Source organism: Homo sapiens, chromosome 6 (genome assembly GCF_000001405.40).
Source record: "Homo sapiens chromosome 6, GRCh38.p14 Primary Assembly".
Classification (NCBI taxonomy): domain Eukaryota; kingdom Metazoa; phylum Chordata; class Mammalia; order Primates; family Hominidae; genus Homo; species Homo sapiens.
Window position 1 is genome coordinate 169,486,557 of NC_000006.12, and position 19,487 is coordinate 169,506,043.

Consider the following 19,487-nt stretch of genomic DNA (forward strand, 5'->3'; position numbering starts at 1 on the left):
TCTCGGCTCACTGCAACCTCCACCTCCCGGGTCCAAGCAATTCTCCTGCCTCAGCCTCCTGAGTAGCTGGGATTATGGGCAAATGCCACCACGCCCAGCTAATTTTCATATTTTTAGTAGAGACGGGATTTCGCCATGTTAGTTAGGCTGGTCTCGAACTCCTGACCTCATGATCCACCCGCCTCAGCCCCCCAAAGTGCTGGGATTACAGGCATAAGCCACTGCTCCTGGCCAGAAGGCAAGTTTTTAAAGCTGTCCTTTTCCTCGATGTTTTCACAGGCACTGAGACCAGTTTCTTTATTCATTGACAGCCATCTTCCAAGTTTGCAAAAGGAGGAGTAAATCACATCTAACTCTAAAAATAGTGACTTTTCTCTACAATCCAAATTCTTGAGAACCTTCATGCTTTCATTATTCCCTAAGCAAGTCCTGGTGCCCATGGGTACTGGAGGGCAGCACAGCAATTCTGAGCAGACCGGACTGGGTCCAGCAGCCTGGATTTGAATCCTGGCAGTGCCATTCACCAGCCATGTCATCTAAGGAAAGTTACGGAGTCTCACCCACCTCAGCTCCTTTATCTATGAAATGGGGCCAATAACAGCATCCTCTTCGGAGGGTTCATGTGAGGACTGAATCAGTTAATATAAATAATTGTAGCAATACTTGACATACAGCGAATACCATTATTTTTTATAATGTGAACATCGACCTCTTCTGTGACAACTAGGAACATGCCAGAAATATGTCTCCTCCACTTTGATCTGAATGTAGAACAATGTCATTAATAGCACCAGAATCTACCTGCTAGCTCCATGTGCCTCCTCAAAGAAGCTGGGGAGAAGGCCGTTTGCAAAGAGGAGGAGTGTCAGGAAACAGAAGGTGCGTGCTCACCCTGGCTTCACACGTGAGGGCTATTCAGACACTGTGGGCCTCGCTGCTCCCTGGATTACAGAGTCGAGGCGCTTGAAAGGGGTCGCAAACCTCATGCTTGAGGTTACAGTGGGGAAGATATTGGCATATAACCCAAAGTGAGCCATGAGCCTCCCTCTAATAAAAATCCAAAACTTTCCAATGTATTATTTTGCCTGCACGAATATGGCCAAGATAAGACTTTTTAAAAATATGGCACTGTAGTCATCTACAAGCCATCCTTTGACTTGTATTTTCTAAATGTAAATGAATCACCAAACTCAGAACATCCTTGCAGAAAATTAGCAAAATCATCACATTTACTCTGATCAATGAGTATGAGAAAATCTCTACTTCAGTCATGGTTAATAGTTTGGAGTTTTAAGGACAGTTGATGAAAAATGCCATAAAAGAAGCATGTTTAGTCTAATTTGCTTGAAACTCTGATTGAAAATTATCCTAACAGCTGAGCCCTTTTACTCCCACAGACACAGCACTCTCTCTATTCCCCTCTGAAAATTCCAGTCTCTGACTCCCCCAGCTGGGGGTCATGAGAAAATCACAGAAACCTGGCATATGAAATGATGGACAATGGGGAAGTGCACTTTCCATAATTCCTTAGAGATTTCCCCATTTATTAACATGGCATAAAGGCACAGAAACCAACATGTAGTTGCAATAAAGAGAGAAATCCACAGCATTTACTTGATGGGCCTGGAAGCCTGCCTAATTGAAACACTCATGCATTGGGGCTGCACCACCAGCTTAGAGCAGCGTCTCTAGCGTGGTTGCCGCTGTTGCTGGAGAGGCAGCCAGGATCTGCCTGTTTGTGTGCTTTGCAGATCTCCATGGTGGAAGAGGCAAAAGGTCTGAAATCGTCTCACAAAGGAAATTACTATTCAGCCTCATCCATCAAAAGCAGAAATCTAGAAATGAGAAGACTTTCAAATGTTGCCTCAAGTAGAATTTTAAGATCATGTCTTATCCAAGTTCTTCTAGCATGATAATGAGCAGCAAAGAAAGGAGAAAATGAGCAGTGTCAGAAGCACCTGGCTACAGCCAACTCCAGTTACGTGTCTTCATATGCACAGTGGATGCTGGTTTTGACCTTTGCAATCCATTACTGAAACCCCCTTGTCCTGTAATACTTCTGCATTCTGTTTGTTTTGCAGATAAAGGAGAACTCCCCAACCATTTTCCCTTTTCCTAACTTTGTGAAAAACAAACTTAAAGGCTAGCAGGGAGCAAATGTAACAAGGGGACACAGACAGCACTGTGACTGAGGTGGGAGCAACACAGACTCGCAAGCCAGAGCTCCCAGTCACGGAGCTCAAGTGAACTGCCTGCACCCTCTGTACCTCGGTGGGGATGGCAGCATAATCGTCTTTTGGAGTGTGAACTGATGCACACCACGTATAGGTCACATTAATGTAAACTCACTCCAGTGTGGGTGGGCGTCAAATGGCACATTTGATGCCCCCTTTTTTTTTTTTTTTTGCATTTCTCTTAATCAAATCCTTTGTAAATTCCAATGTTGATTTCTGTTGATACATAATCATTTAGTTAGGCCACATGATTTCAGAGATGAGGGTGATCTCAGAGACATCTAGTTTGGTGCTTTTACTTCCCGACCCTGGTGCAGATGCAGAGATGTTCCGTTCATTCGTGCAAAGTCAAGGAGCAGCCAGGAGCAGAGGCAGATGAGAACCCAGGTGCTCCAACTTCCCGCTGAGCACCTCCTGTGCATGGCACCTGCACAGATGCCTCAACGTGCACACAGGCTGTAAGACGAGACTCTTAACAGTGTCTCAAGCAAGTACTTTTCTTTGACAGAGGCAGTGATTGCCAAGATTTAGTGTGGATTAAAAGCCTAAGACAGTTTGTATTAGAAAATGCCAGCTCTGTGAGACTATGGCAGACAGCAGTGGAAGGGCACATGACCGTCTCCTACTTCTGCACTGGGCAGCCACGCCCATCGCCCGCTGTGATCTACAGATTTCGGAGAACGAAGGTCACACTTCTGCACTGGGCAGTCAAGGCCGTCGCCCGCTGTGATCTACAGATTTCGGAGAAAGAAAGTCCCATGACATAGCATTGCACGTCTCTGTGAAAAGGCACTTCTACCACCTGATCAGGACATTGCATGCCTCAGTTTAAGGAGTTGTCTTGATTTACTCAGACCTCGTGAGGAATGACTGGCTATTGGTCAGATCCCGCTCCAGATCAATTCACTCAGCGTTTCCAGGATGGGCCTGGGCACCGTATTTCTGAAATCCCTCCAGATGGTTGCAATGTGTGGCCAAGGCTCAGCTCTCCAAAGACTTCAATTCTATAATTTCATGATTTCTCAAATGTCTCTAATCCAGGATAAATATTTCCACTGTGTTTAAAGTTCCTGAGTCCCAACATGTGGAAGTGCTTTGTGGTAGTCTTTCTGGCTTCCTCCCTGTGAGCTGTTCCAGTAACTCAACTTCACAAACTACATTCTAAGCAACTTCTCTGCCCTGGGTGTGCAGGGCATTCACACTGGGTTGGAGACAAAGAAGTTGGCCTGGGGAAAGGCCCTCCCACAGGGGTCGCTCCTGAACAGGACATGGACCCGTAGGCTTTCAGGATGCCCTAAACAGGTCAGAAAACACTTGTCACCACTAAAGGGTCCACGGCATATTTCTTCAGCACAAAGGTTTAAGCCAGGTGTCCTGGCAAGAACTAGATTCAAGTAATCATGTTCTGCCCCCTGCACTTTTTACTAGAATAGGTTTAACCTCTGTGCTGAGCCTGTGTAGACAGCAAAGCCGTCACTGCAGTCAGCCAGCAGGACTTGGCTGCTTCTCACGTGTGGAGGAGACAGACCCCATGTGGAATTTGAACACTGTGCCAGTGTGTTTCTAAGAAGGTTTGGGATTGTACATGACAAACTATTCTTGTAACAATGCAAGTACAACATCAAATCATCAGGGAGCCAGGTGTGTGCGCAGAAGGAGTGCACGTGCTGCTTCTGTGGACTTTCCACTGCAGCTGGCTGCAGAGCCTGCATGTACTTATCTGTCTGAAAGGGAAGGACCCACAAACCTGCCAAGGTCCGATATCAGTTGCGGGTGGGGGCTAAATGCTTTGCCAGTGAAGCAAGGTTGCTGGACTCTACTACTCTCTCAATATCTGTTCTATCAGCACAAGAGAAATGAACAATTCACATTCTTTAAAGATGTGGGGCTGAAAACAAGACAAGCTACTGGCTGGGGTTTCCTTAGTATCTCAGCCTCCAGTTCAAACAGGCAGAGAATGAAAGACAGTGTACTTCACATAATTATAATTATCTGTGGTCTCTGTGTCTCAGCCTGCATCTCTGAAGAGTCATGGAGTGCTTTCATGGCCTAGAAATCTCCAGATTGCAGCATCGTAACTTTGAACTGCCCAAAACATCCCCTGCAGGATAACAGGCCCAAAGCTGGACTCCTGAACTTCCAAGTGACCCCCAATGCCACACCCTACTTTCAGCCATCCGTACACCACTCATCATCCACAAAAAACAAAGGCAATGCTGCACAGAAAAACGTGGACTTACGTACTTTCCAAGTAGCAAATCCACTCACTGAGACAGAACCCAATCATTTTCTTAAAAGGAGAGAAAAGATACTAAAGAGTTAGTGACTAAGGGTTACTAAAGAACACGGGCATTTAAGAGCTTCCTGGAAAATGAATGAGATCAGCTCCAGCCATTATCCAAGAAGGAGCTGACCAAAAAGAAAATATGGCTATTTCCTTAAAGATAATGCATCAAATTTCTCTCTAGGTTTTATTAGACTAAGTGAAATAAACTTTAGAGCAATAACTCTGGAGGTTATTGCCGGGAGTAGGGTGTAGGGTGGGGTTACTTAGTAATTATTTTTTGTTAACTATATCTGAAATGTGAAATTCCAAAATTTTAACCTCTTTTACAGTTATATTATTCAATATCTAAATGAAACTAGTCAAGATGAAGTTTTTAATTCATGCTCTGAAGCATCTCTTTATTTCATATATATAGAAATTATATATAAAATATAAGAGAAGAAATAAATTGACATAGCCAGGCTTAAAAGCAAAACAAAACAAAATTCTCCATAAACAGAAAAGGAGCAGAAACACAAACTTAAGTCTTGGACATCCTGGCTTTGGGTGCAGAATTAAGCAGGAAGGGCAGGGAGCTCACATTCCACGAAAGACCAGAACCCAGGGCTGGCAGGGCTCCACTGCTTCTAAAAGAGGCTAATGATGTGTGCTGGGACCTGGAATCACAGTTTAAGCTCAACAGCAGGTCCAAGGAGACACTGAGGTAGTTACATGGCTAGATGTCTAGAACTGGGTATCCTAACATCCTGAGATGAGAAATACTGCTGCAAATTCCTCACATGAGGTCCCAAAGACTTTGGAAAGAAGCAACTGCAAAATCAAGTAGGAAGAGATAAGCTGAGAAAGAGAAAAAAAATGAGAATATTCTTCAACTAAAAATAAATCTATAAATTAAAATTGTAAAACACATATTGATATTGAATGCTAAGAGGACAGACAACCAAATAACAATTAGAAGATAATTGCATTCCAGATGAATTTTAAATAAGAAAATAGTCTGAATAATACTTTAAAAGAAATATGCTTATAGTCTGCAAAGAGATGAATGGGCAAAGATCAAATAAAAATAAGAAATTACTTTACAAATTGTAATAAAATATAGGAAGGTGGGTATGTTAGAGAACACATTAGAAATAAGAATTTTGAAAAAAAAAAGCAGCAGATCATTGCTCGCCTAGACAAAACACATTTGAAGAAGTAACTCAATGAAATATAATATTAAAGAATTACCTCAAATTCAGCTTACAGAGACAAATTTGCTTAAAAATATAAAAAATCAGTTAAGAGCCACAGATAATACTTTGAGAGTTTCAAAAATGTGTCTCATCAAATCCAGAAAAACAAAGGCAATTTTGAAGAAACAATATTTGAAGAAGTAAAGGACAGCAAATTGCTTATCAGCAACATTAGACACCCGAAGGCAGGAGAAAAATGTTTTTAAAGTGTTTATAATAACTCTTAATATATATCAATCTTCAAGTTTATACCAAGCTAAATTATCATTTAGGTGTGAGGGCAAAATGAAGACATTTTCAGATATACAACAACTAAGAGAAATTACGACTTACTTTCCATACCTCACTGGAAAAAAAAAATTATGAAATGATGAATTTCAGTGAAAGAATGGAACCTAGAAGGAAGAAATGAGATACAAGAGAAAAACCAAAGAAATTGATAAAAATGTGCTAGTAACAAAACTCTAATTGACAACAGCAATAACAAACCTCTAGACAACAATAACAGTAATATCTACTACATAAGCCACTTAAGAACTTTTCCTTGTCTAGGAGAAAACTGATATCCAGGATAATTTAGACATTTTTCATTAAAATTTGTCATTAAGTATATAAATTAAAATATTAAAGGTAAAAATTAAGTCAACATGCAGAGACATAAAAGGAGATAAAAGAATCAAAGAACAAGGGAAATAGCAGAATTCATATGTAGAAATAAGTCGGAAATTCCTTGGTCCAAAAAAATGTGAATGTGCTAACTTTTCCAGTTAAAAGATAATCTTTTCTATTAAAAAGGTTATAAAATTGGATTAAAATTATAAAATTGGATTAATAAATTCAGCCAGAAAGATTGAAAGTAAAGGGTTGGAAAAAGTCTGCCACATAAACATTAACCAATAAAAAGTTAGCAATACCACTGTTAATATAAAAGAAATTAAGTCCAAAAACATAAGTAGGGAAGAAGATAAATGCAAAATAATAATAAAAATTAAAATCTCTGGGAAGATAAACAATCACAATCTTTATGCACCTAAAAATATAGCATCAAAATACCTAAAGCTAGGCCAGAAGGATATTTGCCAACGAAAAAAGTTTAAGAAATCCACTTCAGAAGCATATATACTACTGTCTCACTGACAGCTCAATCAACTGTCTAACAGAAGTATCAAACTTAAGATGTTCAAATTTTTTTTTATTTCTTCTTTGACCCCAGAACTACTTTTCTCCAAACCTGTTTTTCTCCATTTCCACTAATGTAACCACCAGTAACCAATTGCTTTTATTTTTGTCTTTGGTTTGTTATGAAATAGTAATTGAATATAAAGGAAAATATTACTTAAAATATCTTAAAGGTATTACATATTTGGCGATACTGAACCCACATTTTTCTGCACATCAAGAAGACATTTTATAAGAGCAATATTTTACATATATGATGCTATTAAATAAGTCATATTTTTGTATGATTTTCAGGTAGTATATGTAATATATATGACATACATATGTAAGTTTTGCATAGGCTTTTGAGAAATAATACCATATCTAACAACGTTGTTAAAGAAAGAAAAATAACTCAATCTCTTACCTCAGTTGATAATAAGAAGCATTTTTCCTATGAGATAAAAATATAATTCCAGCAAGATGAGGGCCAAATGCAAGTGTGAGTTTCTCTTTTCTGACTCTGATACTTTCGACTGTCAATTACAGTTAGATACAATATAGATTTATTTAATTGTTGTGTTTGTATATATGGCACAATGAGTAGTGGCATTATAATGGTTAATATTCTATGTCAACTTGACTGTGTGATGGGGTGCCCAAATATCTTCTCAAACACCATTGTGGATACGGCTATGAGGGTGTTTTTGATGAGATTATTTGGAACTGTGGATTGAGTAAAGCAGATGCCGTCCCTAATGGGGGTGGGCCTCATCCAATCAGCTGAAGGCCTGAATAGAACAAAAAGGCCGACTCTCCCTTAGGTAAAAGGAACCTCCTCCTGCTTGACTACCTTGAGCTAGGACATTGGTGTTTTTCTTCCTTTGTACTTAAAGTGAAACATCAGTTCTTCTTGGGTCTTGAACCTATTGCCTTCAGACTATAATCCACACCACTATAAGACTGGCAGTGCAATGGATTTGTTTACACCAGCATCACCACAATCACTTGAGCAATGCATTGCACTATGATGTTAAAATGGCTGTGACATTACTAGACAATAGAAATTTTCCAGCTCCATTATAATCTTAACAGGTCACCATTGTATATCCAGTCCATCATTGACTGAAATGTTGTTATGGGGTGCAAAACTGCATTTACAGCATTTCCTCTCTAAGCAGAAAGGTTTACCCACAAAGGTTGCAGCCTGCTGGCCACTGCAAAACTCTTCTATTTTGAGCACCACCAAGTCAGGCCCAAAGTAAGCTCAGCATCAGATTGGAAAACTGGCATTAATGAATTTTTTATTAGTATCTACCTATTAACCAGAGGTAAATTTTCCTGTGGAATATTTTGTCTCAAGCTCCAGTAATCAATATGCTTGCTCAAACACATGTGAAAGCATTTACTAAAGTGCTCCAGTCAACACTGTTTTTCAGGCAATTATTTACTCCTTTAAGTACTTACATGCTGTGATATAATGCTGAAAGAGAAATTGCACAAACATTAAAAACCACATACACATTACCGTAAGTCAATGTTTAAAATACATAATGTAATTTAATAAGTGAATCTTGTAAATTATAAGTTCATGAAAACATTAGAAAATAAATATAAACATACATAAATTAAAAGAGAAATAGATGGTAGGTGATAGATGGTAGACAGATGGTAAAGACAGATGATACATAGAAAGATAGCAACATAATACATGATAGATGGATACATAGATAAATGGATGGATGGGTAGATAGATAAATAAACAGATAAAGCTATAAGGTTAGTATTTCTTGTAGCGTTTCCTAATATATGAGACACAGTAAAAGCAGTGCTAAGGGGGAAATTTAGAGCTATACATGCTTACATTTATAAACAAGAAGATTCTTAGATCAACAACCTAACTTTACAACTTAAGGAACTAAAAAACTAAAAGTAAACTAAATCCAGGGCTAGCAGAGGAATGAAATAAGAAATATTAGAGGAAATATAAAATAAAGAAGATATAAACCATTGGAAAAATCAATGAAACAAAAAGTTGATTCTTTGAAAAGATAAAAAAAAACCTGACAAAGCTTTAGCCAGGTGGATTAAGGAAAGAAGATTCAAATTACTAAAATCAGAAATAACAACTGATGCTACAAAAATAAAAAGCATTATAAGAGAGCAGCACTATGAACAACTGTATACCAAACAATTTGATAACCTAGATGAACAAATTCCTATAAACATAAAATCTACCAAGACTAAATCACACTAAAATAGCACATCTGAATACACTTATCAGTAGTAAGAATAATGAATCAGTAACCAAAAATTTCCACAAAGAAAAGCCCTGAATCTGATGACTTCATTGGTGAGTTCTGCCAAAAATTTAAAATGGAATTATTCCAATTCTGCTCCAACTTTTCCAAAAACTGGGGGAAAAAAAAACACTTCTTACCTCATTCTGTGAGGACAGCATTACCCTGATATCAAAACCAAAGATTCCAAAAGAAAGGAAAACTACAGACCAATATCCCTTATGAACATTAATGCAAAAATTCTCAACAAAATACTAGCAAACAGAACTTAACAGCATATTAAAAGGATTACAAACCATGATCAACTGGGATTTACTCCTAAAATGCAAGGATGGTTCAAAATACAAAAATCAATTAACATAGTATACCACATTAACAGAATGAATGGAAAAAATGCATGATTATCTCAATTGGTGCAGGAAAAAACACACGATTATCTCAATTGATGCAGAAAAAAGCATTTCACAAAATTCAACACGCTTTTATGATAAAAACACTCAACAAAGCAGAAATAGAAGGAAACTACCTCAACACAAGAAAAGCCATATATGAAAAACACAGAGCAAACATCTTATTCAATGATGAAAGACTGAGAGCTTTTCCTCTAAAATCAAGAACAAGTCAAGAATGTTCAATTTTCCCACTTCTATTCAACACAGTCTAAAAGTTCTAGCCAGAAATTAATTAAGCAAGAAAAAGAAATAACAGTCATCTAAATAGGAAGGGGAAAAGTACAATTATCTTTGTTTGCAGATATGTTTTATATATAGGAAGCCCTACAGATTCCACAAAAGTGTGTTAGAACAAATGAATATAGCAAAGTAGCAGGATAAAAAATCAGCAGGCAAAACTCAATTGCGTTTGAATATACCAACCATCACCACTATGACAAGGAAGTTACAAAAACAATTCCATTCACAATAGCATCAAAAAGAATAAAATACTTGGCAACTAACTTAACCAAAGAAGTGAAGGACTTGTACAATGAAAACTACAAAACATTGCTGCAACAAAATTAAAGAAGACGTAAATTAATGGAAACATATTCCATGTTCATGGATTGGAACACAATATTGTTAAAATATCTATATTACCCAAAGTGCTCTACAGATGCAATGCAATCCCTGTACTGATCCCAATGATGTTTTCTGAAGATATGGAAAAATCCATCCTAAAATTCAAATGGAGTCTCAAGAGACTGTGAATAGCCAAAGCAATCTTGAAAAAGAACAAAACTGGAGGACCTACACTTTCTAATTTCACACATTAATACAGAGCTACAGTAATCAAAACAGAATAACACTGCCATAAAGACAGACATATAGACCAATAGAATTAAATAGAGAGCCCAGAAATAAACCCTCACATATATGGTCAAGGGTGCCAAGACCATTAAATGGGGAAAAAGTCTTTTCAACAAATGGTGCTGGCAAAGCTGTGTATTAATGTGCAAATGAATGAAGTTGGAACTTTACCTAAAACCATGTACAAAAACTAACAAAGTGCGCCAAAGGCCTGAATGGAAGACTGAAAACAATAAAACTCTTAGAAGAAAACACAGGAAAAAAGCTTTCCAGCATTGAATTTCTTGGGTATAACACTCAAAGGCAAAAAGCAACAAAAGAAAAAAATAGGCAAGTTGGACTTCGTGAAAATTTTTTAAATTTGTGCATAAGAAGACATTATCAACACAATAAAAAAGCAATCCATAGGATCAGAGAAAATATTTCCAAATCATGTATATAATAAGTGATATCCAGAATATCTAGGGAACTCCTAAAACTACAAAAAAAAAAAAATCCAGTTAAAACATGGATTAAGAACTTGAATAGACATTTCTCCAAAGAAGATACACAAATGTCCAAGAAGTGCATGAAAAGATGTTCAACATCACTAATCATTTGGGAAACGCAAAACAAAACTACAATGAGATTGTACCTCACACCCATTAGAATGCAACTATCAAAAGAATAAAAATAACAAATATTGATGAGGAGGTGGAGAAATTTGGACCCTGTACACTGTTGGTGGGAATGTAAAATGGTACAGCTGCTGTGGAAAACAGCATGGCATTTTTTTCCAAAAAATTAAAAATAGAATTATCCTATTATTCAGCAATTCCACTTCTGGATATATATATATGCAAAAAAACTGAAAGCAGGGTCTTGAAGAGATATTTGTTCAAACATGTTCATAACAGCATCATTCACAATAGCTAAAACATGGAAGCAACACAATTGTCCATGAATGGATGAGTATATAAGCAAAACATGGTATATCCATACACAAGAATATTATTCAGCTTTAAAAAGGGAAATTCTAATATATGCTTCAATACAGACAAACCTTGAAGACATTATGTTAAATGAAATAAGCCAGTTACAACAGGGCAAATGCTATATGATTCTATTTATATGAGGTACCTAGAGTGAAAATCACAGAGACAGATTCAAATCTCTCATCTATTCAGAAACAGATCTGTATTCTATTCTGGAGTGGTGGTTTACAGGGGCTGTGGGGAGCGAGGAATGGGGAGTTAGTGTTAATGGGTACAGAGATTCAATTTTACAAGATTAAAAGTTATGGAGATAGGTGGTGGTGATACACTAACATGATGAATGCACTCAATATTGCTAAACTATGCACTTAAAAATGGTTAGGTTGGCAAATTTTATGTTATGTGTATTTTACCATAATAAAAAAATGGAAGAAAAAATAGATCAGGGACTTAAATGTAAAACTATAGGAATTTTAGAAAGCAAAATAGGAGAAAATCTTCAGGATCTAGGGCTGACACCAAAAGGAGGTTGCATAAACGGGAAAATAAATAAATTGGTCTCCATCAGAATCAAAAGCTTTGCTTGATTTCTCATCAGCAGAACCAGGAGCACATTGTGATGGATGTGACTGTCTAAATGAAACTTCAGAGAAGACGTGAAGTGAAAATAGCCCATATTAAAAGGTTACATAGTGTATGATTCCATTTACATGACATTCTTAACAAAATTATAAAAATAGAGAACAGATAGCAGTTGCCAGGGGTTATGGATGCGGGTGGGGGAGCGTGCGTGGTTTAAAAGAACAACAGGAGGGACCTGTGTGAGGATTGTCTGTATCTTGACTGGTGGCAGACACACAAATCTAGACACATGTAATAATACTGCACGGAACTGCATACCTGCGCAGAACTGCAAACATGCACCCACACGAGTACGAGTCAAAAGGAAAATGTGAACAAGAGCATCAGATTATGTCAACAGCAATACCCCATTACTCAGAAATATGAGCAGTGTCTTAAGCTACAGCACTGACATGGAAACGTCCTCATGTTGCTAAGCGGAAACAGACGCTGTATTTACAGCTCAGCAGGCTGCACATCTCAAAAGCAAGAACTTCACTGGGACTCAGTAATTTAAACTTCAAATCCAGCCAAGCCTCCTTTGCAAGGTGAAGTATGTTCTCCCGGAGCCCAGCGTCAGCACCGAGGGTGCACAGCAGAAGGCTACACACGCGGAGCTGCGCTGTTCCCAATGCACACTGCAGGGATGTGTGAGGCAGGGCTCTGAATAGCTGGGACAAAGACAGTGTGATGACAGCATCTGGATGGCAGCTTCAGCACTCCATGCACTTGCCCCAGCAGCCTCACACAGTTCCAGGTGTTCATCTGACTGGCAGAATTAAACCTGCGCTAAATGTGAGGAGATGCCAGGAACATCCTGGAATACGATCAGAAAAGAAATCCAAAACGTCGTGATATTAGAGTGTGAAGTCACTATCACCTGCACCATCAAATAATGATGCCTCCCCACCTAAGACAGCCAGAAGACAGTCGCTTCCCGCAGTGTTGAGAAGGAAATACATTTGTGAGCACAGAACTGACATTTCTGATAAAGCCCTGGAGCTGCAAGCCTGCATAGGCCAGAACACAGGAGAAGGCACTGCCACAGACAGGCTCCTGTTTTCACTGCTGATGCTGGGACCCTGCCAAGTGGGCCACCTGAGCTCCTCTTCTAGATTAGAGAGATGGGCCCGTCACAGGCAGCAGGAGGGTCCTGGCCCAAAGCAGTGGCTGGGAGCAGCCCACTGACCATGGAAGCTGCAGAACCCATGCATGTTCAATCGTGCAGTCCCTGTGCACAGCCATAGGAGATTGGTAAAGGGCTGAAGTCTGTCCGGGGGACCTGAGGGCTCTGTGAATGCCCACGGTTCCTTCCCCCAGCTGCTGGGTGCATACTTAGATGGCCGTACTCAGCAACTGGCAGGCTCCCACACTGGCTCCCTGCTCTGCAAAATGCGGGCTATTGTCCTAGGAAAGGAAACGTGGAGCGCTACTCAGTATAAAACTTTAAGCCAAAAGCAATATCACATCCATGAGGGAATTGCAGAGATTAGCACCACAATCAAAGACTTGGAAAATATTGAGTTTTTATTTCCTTTTATCCTGATTTAGCTCACCAGTTTGGCCTATGTGGAATACAGGCCGCTTGGAAAATGATGGTGCGTTTTATAGCAACATGTTGACTAAAATTGAGCTTGCTATTCCAAATGAGGTCTGTACTAACAAGCCAGGGCAGCCCCTGGCCTCAGGTTATCCATTACTGTCTCACAAATGCTTAGCTGCTGCTGAACTAATGCTTAGTAGCTGCTGAAAATCCAGGAGCTATCTGTTTTCTCTTATCAAGGAGAGTCACCCATCTTCATCTTCTCACCTCAGGGCCACACTAACTTCTGAGCTGGGACCTAAGAAACCTCCCGCTGGTCTACGACCGAGAAGGCATCACGCAGAGAGGGCCTGCGGAGCAGAAGTGGCAGGTAGTGCGCGTGAGTGCTGCAGGGTGGAGGAGGGGCAATGAGTACCCAGGACCTGCCCTCCGGGAGGTATGGCTGCCCAGTGCTAGGGATCTCTCCTTCAAAGTGGAAGCAGTCGCTGCACATCACTGTTCTCACCTCAAGGAGAAGGCACACGACATGGTGGAGACCGCAGTGACACAGTTAGTGCTATTCTTCTACTCACTGAGGGGCTCGGAAATCTGCTGACTTTGACTGGAAACCTAAGCAGCCTCTGCACAGCTCCAAACAGCCACGCGAGCTGCGCTAGCCCAGGGCCCCGTGCAGGGCAGGACACTTGCACGACCAGGCATGCTTATGCTCCCTAGATGTGGACACCAGAAATGCCCCGTTGTCCTCTCTGCTCTCCCCCGTCACAGGTCAGAGGCCGGGATTCTCTACGTTTTCGAACTCCTTGCCACCAAGGCTCCAGTACAGGAACCAGCAGGAGAAGCCTCCGTGTGAGATCTGAAGGCAGTAGAGAGGGAGAAGACACTGTCACTCCTGCCATTTGGCAAACAGGTGTGTGGGATTTGGCGGCTGGGCATTCTTTTCACCCACTTTGATCCAGCAGGAGCTGAAATCACTGCAAGTTTCCCAAGTGGGCTGGAGATGAGACGAACCCGATCCACCTGCGGATTGAAGCAGAGTGGCCCGGCAGGGAGCCCAGACCAGCCAGTGTCCAGACGGCCTGCAGGTCCAGCAGGAGAAGCTGGGCCAGAGCCAGACACACTCACCCATGTGTCTGTGAGGACAGAGGGTGGCTGTTCTAAGCCACCGAGGGAGTCACGCGGCTTTAAGGCAGTAGCCCGCAGATGTGCCTGCTCCCAACCTCACAGAGAGAACTAGGCTCCTTCTATGTGCCTGGTGTTGTACGAAGATGAATAAAATAATTTATCCCACAAAGCCAGAAACAAAAGATATTTAACAAAAATGAATCTATCTAGCCCGCAGGAAAAGATGCAGTGAACTTTTGAACCAGCAGTAGCTAAAATGCATAAAGATGTATGAGGAAGCAGCACTTTCCCACGAACTGTAGGACTCGCCTGCATGTTCTCATTCGGTGAATCTGTTGTGACTGGGGTCTTGGTTGACTCCTTATCTTCCCGACCCTTTTCTTTAATACCGAGGATGCACATGGTCTGGTTAAAGCAGGAGTTTGCGGTTGTCTGCTCAGTAACCTAGCGAAGCCCGCGACTGCCCTGCCTGGTGGAGACGGGCGCGCCCCTCCCTCAAGCTGGTCGAGGAGGTGCTAACACAGGACTTCGTCAATGAAGCAAGACCTCCCTACATGCTTAGGTCTGAATCCAGCTATTCCAGATCTTTCCACTCACACTAAGTAGGCTGAACAGCTTCAGACTCTCCCCTAAGATCACAGCCAAGGACTGGGCCGGATCGCTCCAGTGTGACACGGAGCCGGTGGCCATGCCTGGGGCATCCAATGCCCTGAACGGAGCCGCACGCACCACCTCCCCCCAGGCTAGGGCAGCCGCCCCGGGGCTGCGGGATGCTGGGAAGCCATTAATGAGGGAGTAGATCTGGTGAGGAGATGAGGGAGGGCAGGAGAGCAGCAGGCCCCCATGCAGGGAGAGGAAGCCGCACGCCTGACGCTCTGGCGGGACGACCGCGGCCTCTGAAGAGCGCGGCCGCGGGAGACACCCAGGCACCTGGACAGGCCGGACTCACGTGCTGGGGATGTGCGTCCCTCTGAAAGATTCCCCCGGAAGCTGAAGGGCGATGTGGCGTTCCGTACACGGACGGTCCCTGTCGCAGGCCTCCTACTTGAGGGTCCAGGGCTTACACTGTAGTTTTTTTGTTGCTGCCATAAAAATTTCCTTAAACTTAGTGGCTTAAAACAACACCAGTTTATTCTTCCGGGTCTGTAGGTCGTAAGTCCCGAATGGGCCGCACTGGGCTAAGATCAAGTAGCAAAGGGCTGGTTCCCTCTGGAGGCTTCAGGAGAAAATCCATTTCCGTGTCTTTCCCAGCTTCCCGGCCGACCCCGATCCGGGGCTGTGGCCCCTTCTCATCCTTCGGAGGCGGAAGCGTCTCGTCTCACTCCCCGGCGCTCCCTCTGCCTCCCTCTTAAGCTCCCTCGTGATCGCACTGGGGCCCTGGGTCACCCGGGGTGCTCTCCTCATCTCCAGGTCAGCCGATCGCAGCCTCAGTGCCATCTTCAACCTTGCATTTCCCACGTTCCAGGGGTTAGGACTTGGCCATTTCCAGGACCACGGTTTTCCTCACCACAGACACTGACCCATTCTTGAGGGGAAGCCAAGATTCGAGTAGATGGATTTGCTGAGGAGGGTCTTGAACCACTTCTTCTATAGGCTTCCCCCAAACACTTTTGACAGGTCCATGAAAGTACTGGCAGCTAATTCCATGAAATGTCTACCTAGTCAAAATAGAGGAAGATGAGGTGACCATCACATTTCATGAGACTCTGCGGAGTACATGGACCACAAGACATCTGGGAGGTTTGTCTCTGGCTGTGTCCTCAAGCAAGACACCCTCTGCCATGCTGTGAGCAGAGTGACGAGAAAGAGGCAGGGCCTGGGGTGAAAACATCAGGAGGCCCAGCTGAGAATGCTCAGGCCTTCAGAGGACAAGCCTGAGTTCAAGCAACCTGTAACAGCTTCTGACGCTAATTAACATGACAGGGTCACAGACAACTGGGAGGAAAACTTTGGAGACTGTGCAGCCATGATGGAACTTCATACAACATAAGAGAATGTTGTATCAAGGGTATGTAATCGTAGGTCCAAAGTTGAAGACAATTATAAATGTATTGATACTCCAGTCAGTGAGATGGCCTTTGCTAATTTAACAACAGATGACCTATCCCTCACCCGTACAATGTGTAAACATTTCTGGGAAGAAATAAGAGTGAAGGAGTTCAGGGAACAGGATTCTCTTTCTAGGCTTCCAAGAGCCGTCCCCAGACACTACAGCCTGTCATCTACTGGTTCATTAGATGCTCCTTTTTTTGGAAAGAAGATGAGAGAGTTTGACAAAACATATAAAAACTTAAATGTGTTAGCTACATGTTTTGGGAACTTTTCAGTACATGTGGCTTCCTGGCATTTCTGATTTCTGCTGTAATTTCCTGGGCCTGCCCGGTATTCCCACAGCCACAGAAAGTAGAAGAATGCATTTTCAATTTCTAGTCATTAATACATCCTTTTCTCATTATTTTGAACCTATATCAATCTAGCATGCCACTTCCATAAGATTTCAGCCAAAAAACACAGGAGTAAAAGCTAAGCAGTCCATTCTTCATTATGTCCCTGGTGTGGTGTGCTGAACTTCCATCCCTGAAAAGGAAGTCATGCTAATAAGTGAGACAACATTCTGGTTTAAATTAGGAGCAAAAGGCCAAGCTAAAAGTATGCTACATATCAAAGTATGGGAGGAGTGTACTGATGTGTAAAATTTACTTTACAATTCATAAAAAATCGGACATTAATGAGTGGATAGATAAAAAGATAGATGAACAGTGTGTAGTTATGTGATAAAACAAATGTGGTAAAATATTATCAGTAGAATATACTAGTAGGAATTCAACTGTTCACTACAAACTGTTTCAATTTCTCTGTATATCAGAATATTTTCATAATAAAATGTTAAGATACATAGTAGACTTCTGTGTTAGATGAATGTATCATGTTACTCACTGATATGGTTTGGATCTGTGTCCCCACCCAAATCTCACCTTGAATTGTAAGAGTCCATGTGTCAAGGGTAGGACCAGGTGGAGATAACTGAATCATGGGGGCGGTTTCCTTCATACTTTTCTTGTGATAGTGATTAAGTCTCTCAAGATCTGATGGTTTTATAAATGGCTGCCACCATGTAAGATGTGACTTTGCCCTTCATTCACCTTCCACCATGATTGTGAGGCTCCCCAGCCATGTGGAACTGTGAGTCAATTAAACCTCTTTCCTTTATAAATTACCCAGTCTCAGGTATGTCTTTATTAGCAGCATGAGAACAGACTAATATACTCACTTTAAAAAAAGATTTTTTTTTGAGACAGGGTCTCACTCTGTTGCCCAGGCTGGAGTGCAGTGGCGTGAGCTTGGCTCACTGCAGCTTCAATCTCCCAGGCTCAAGCGATCCTGCCTCGCTTGGGAAAAAGCCTCCTGAGTAGCTGGGACAACAGGCATGCACCACCACATGTGGCTAATTTTTAGGTCTTGCTATGTTGCCCAGGCTGGTCTCGAACTCCTGGCCTCAAGCAATTCTGCCACCTCAGCCTCCCAAGGTGCTGTGATTACAGGTATGATCTACTACACCTGGCCTGTTACCTACTTTATATTCTTTGAAGACTTTTGTGGAAAATCTATTGTAGACAATAGGGCTTCTAAAAAACAAGTGAAAACTGTATGTTTTACTTCATCTTGCATACTTTGCCAGAGATCCTTACATGAAATCTAGCAAGAAAGACAATATTATTACTTGGCTACAATTATATCTGTGAATTAATAAGTGATATGCAGTATTCTATATGAAAAATGCTACACCTAAGTAAATTTTCCTTTGGAGATGAATGTAGATCATATAAAATCCTATCAACTTGAATACTGCTCATTAAGTTATTGTAAATATTCTTAAGAACTTAGTAAGCTCCAATCAGAAATCACTTGCTAATTATCAAGATCTAGTTCTATTCATGGGGCAGCAGGGGGAGTTAATGTTATGAGTGATTTTTCTAATGCATCAGTTAACACTTACATTAAGCCATCAATCTTAACCTATGAGGGCAATAATAATAAAAGCTCATATTCATTTATCTCTTATCACAGATAGGCACATGCACCATTTCATTTAAGCCTCAAAGCACCATCATAAGGTACATTTGTTATTCCTTCTCTATACTTAGGGAAACAGGGACTCATAATTTGAGAAATTTGTCCTAGGTTATCTAACTTACTGGTAGAATGGAGAACCAAGCCCAAGCAGACTGATAGCATTCCTATACTCCAAGAATAGTCCTCAGACCAGAAACAATTGCCATCACATGTGAGTCTCCAGCTCACCCCAGACCTAATGGATTAGAATCTGCAGCAGCAAACAATCCTCAACTGCGTAGAAGGCACACTGAAGTTTAAGAAGTGCTGGCAGATCCAGTTCCCTTCACCATCATGCCATGCCAGTGTCTCACAAATTTTGTGTGATCACAGTCATCTGGAAGGCTTATTAAAATGCTGAGTGCTGGACCCTCCCAGATTTTTGATTCATTAGGACTGGGCAGGGGACCTGAGAATCTGCTTGTCTAACACATCACAGTGATGCTGAAGCTGCTAGCCAGGGGGCCACACTTCGGACACACTGCACGCTGCCCACATGCACCACTTCAGTCAGTGTCATCATCAGAAACACATATACCACCTAAACCCCCTAAACTTTTAAACTCATAAACAAAGCTCCCAGAAGTTAACTCTAC

The 19,487-nt window shown here is 41.4% G+C and overlaps 1 protein-coding gene across 12 annotated transcripts in view; it reads right to left on the reverse strand.

Moving 5' to 3' along the window:
• The window catches only part of WDR27 (WD repeat domain 27), a 275,610-nt gene that overhangs the window by 60,137 nt on the left and 195,986 nt on the right, over window positions 1-19,487 (reverse strand). The window contains exon 26 of one of the 12 annotated variants that reach the window (XM_011535692.4): window positions 16,334-16,436. The exons of the other annotated variants lie outside the window; for them this stretch is intronic. Coding sequence (XP_011533994.1) covers window positions 16,416-16,436 — 21 coding nt within the window. The 3' untranslated portion in view covers window positions 16,334-16,415. Of the gene's footprint in view, window positions 1-16,333; window positions 16,437-19,487 lie in introns of those variants that run through there. 12 annotated transcript variants of the gene reach the window in all.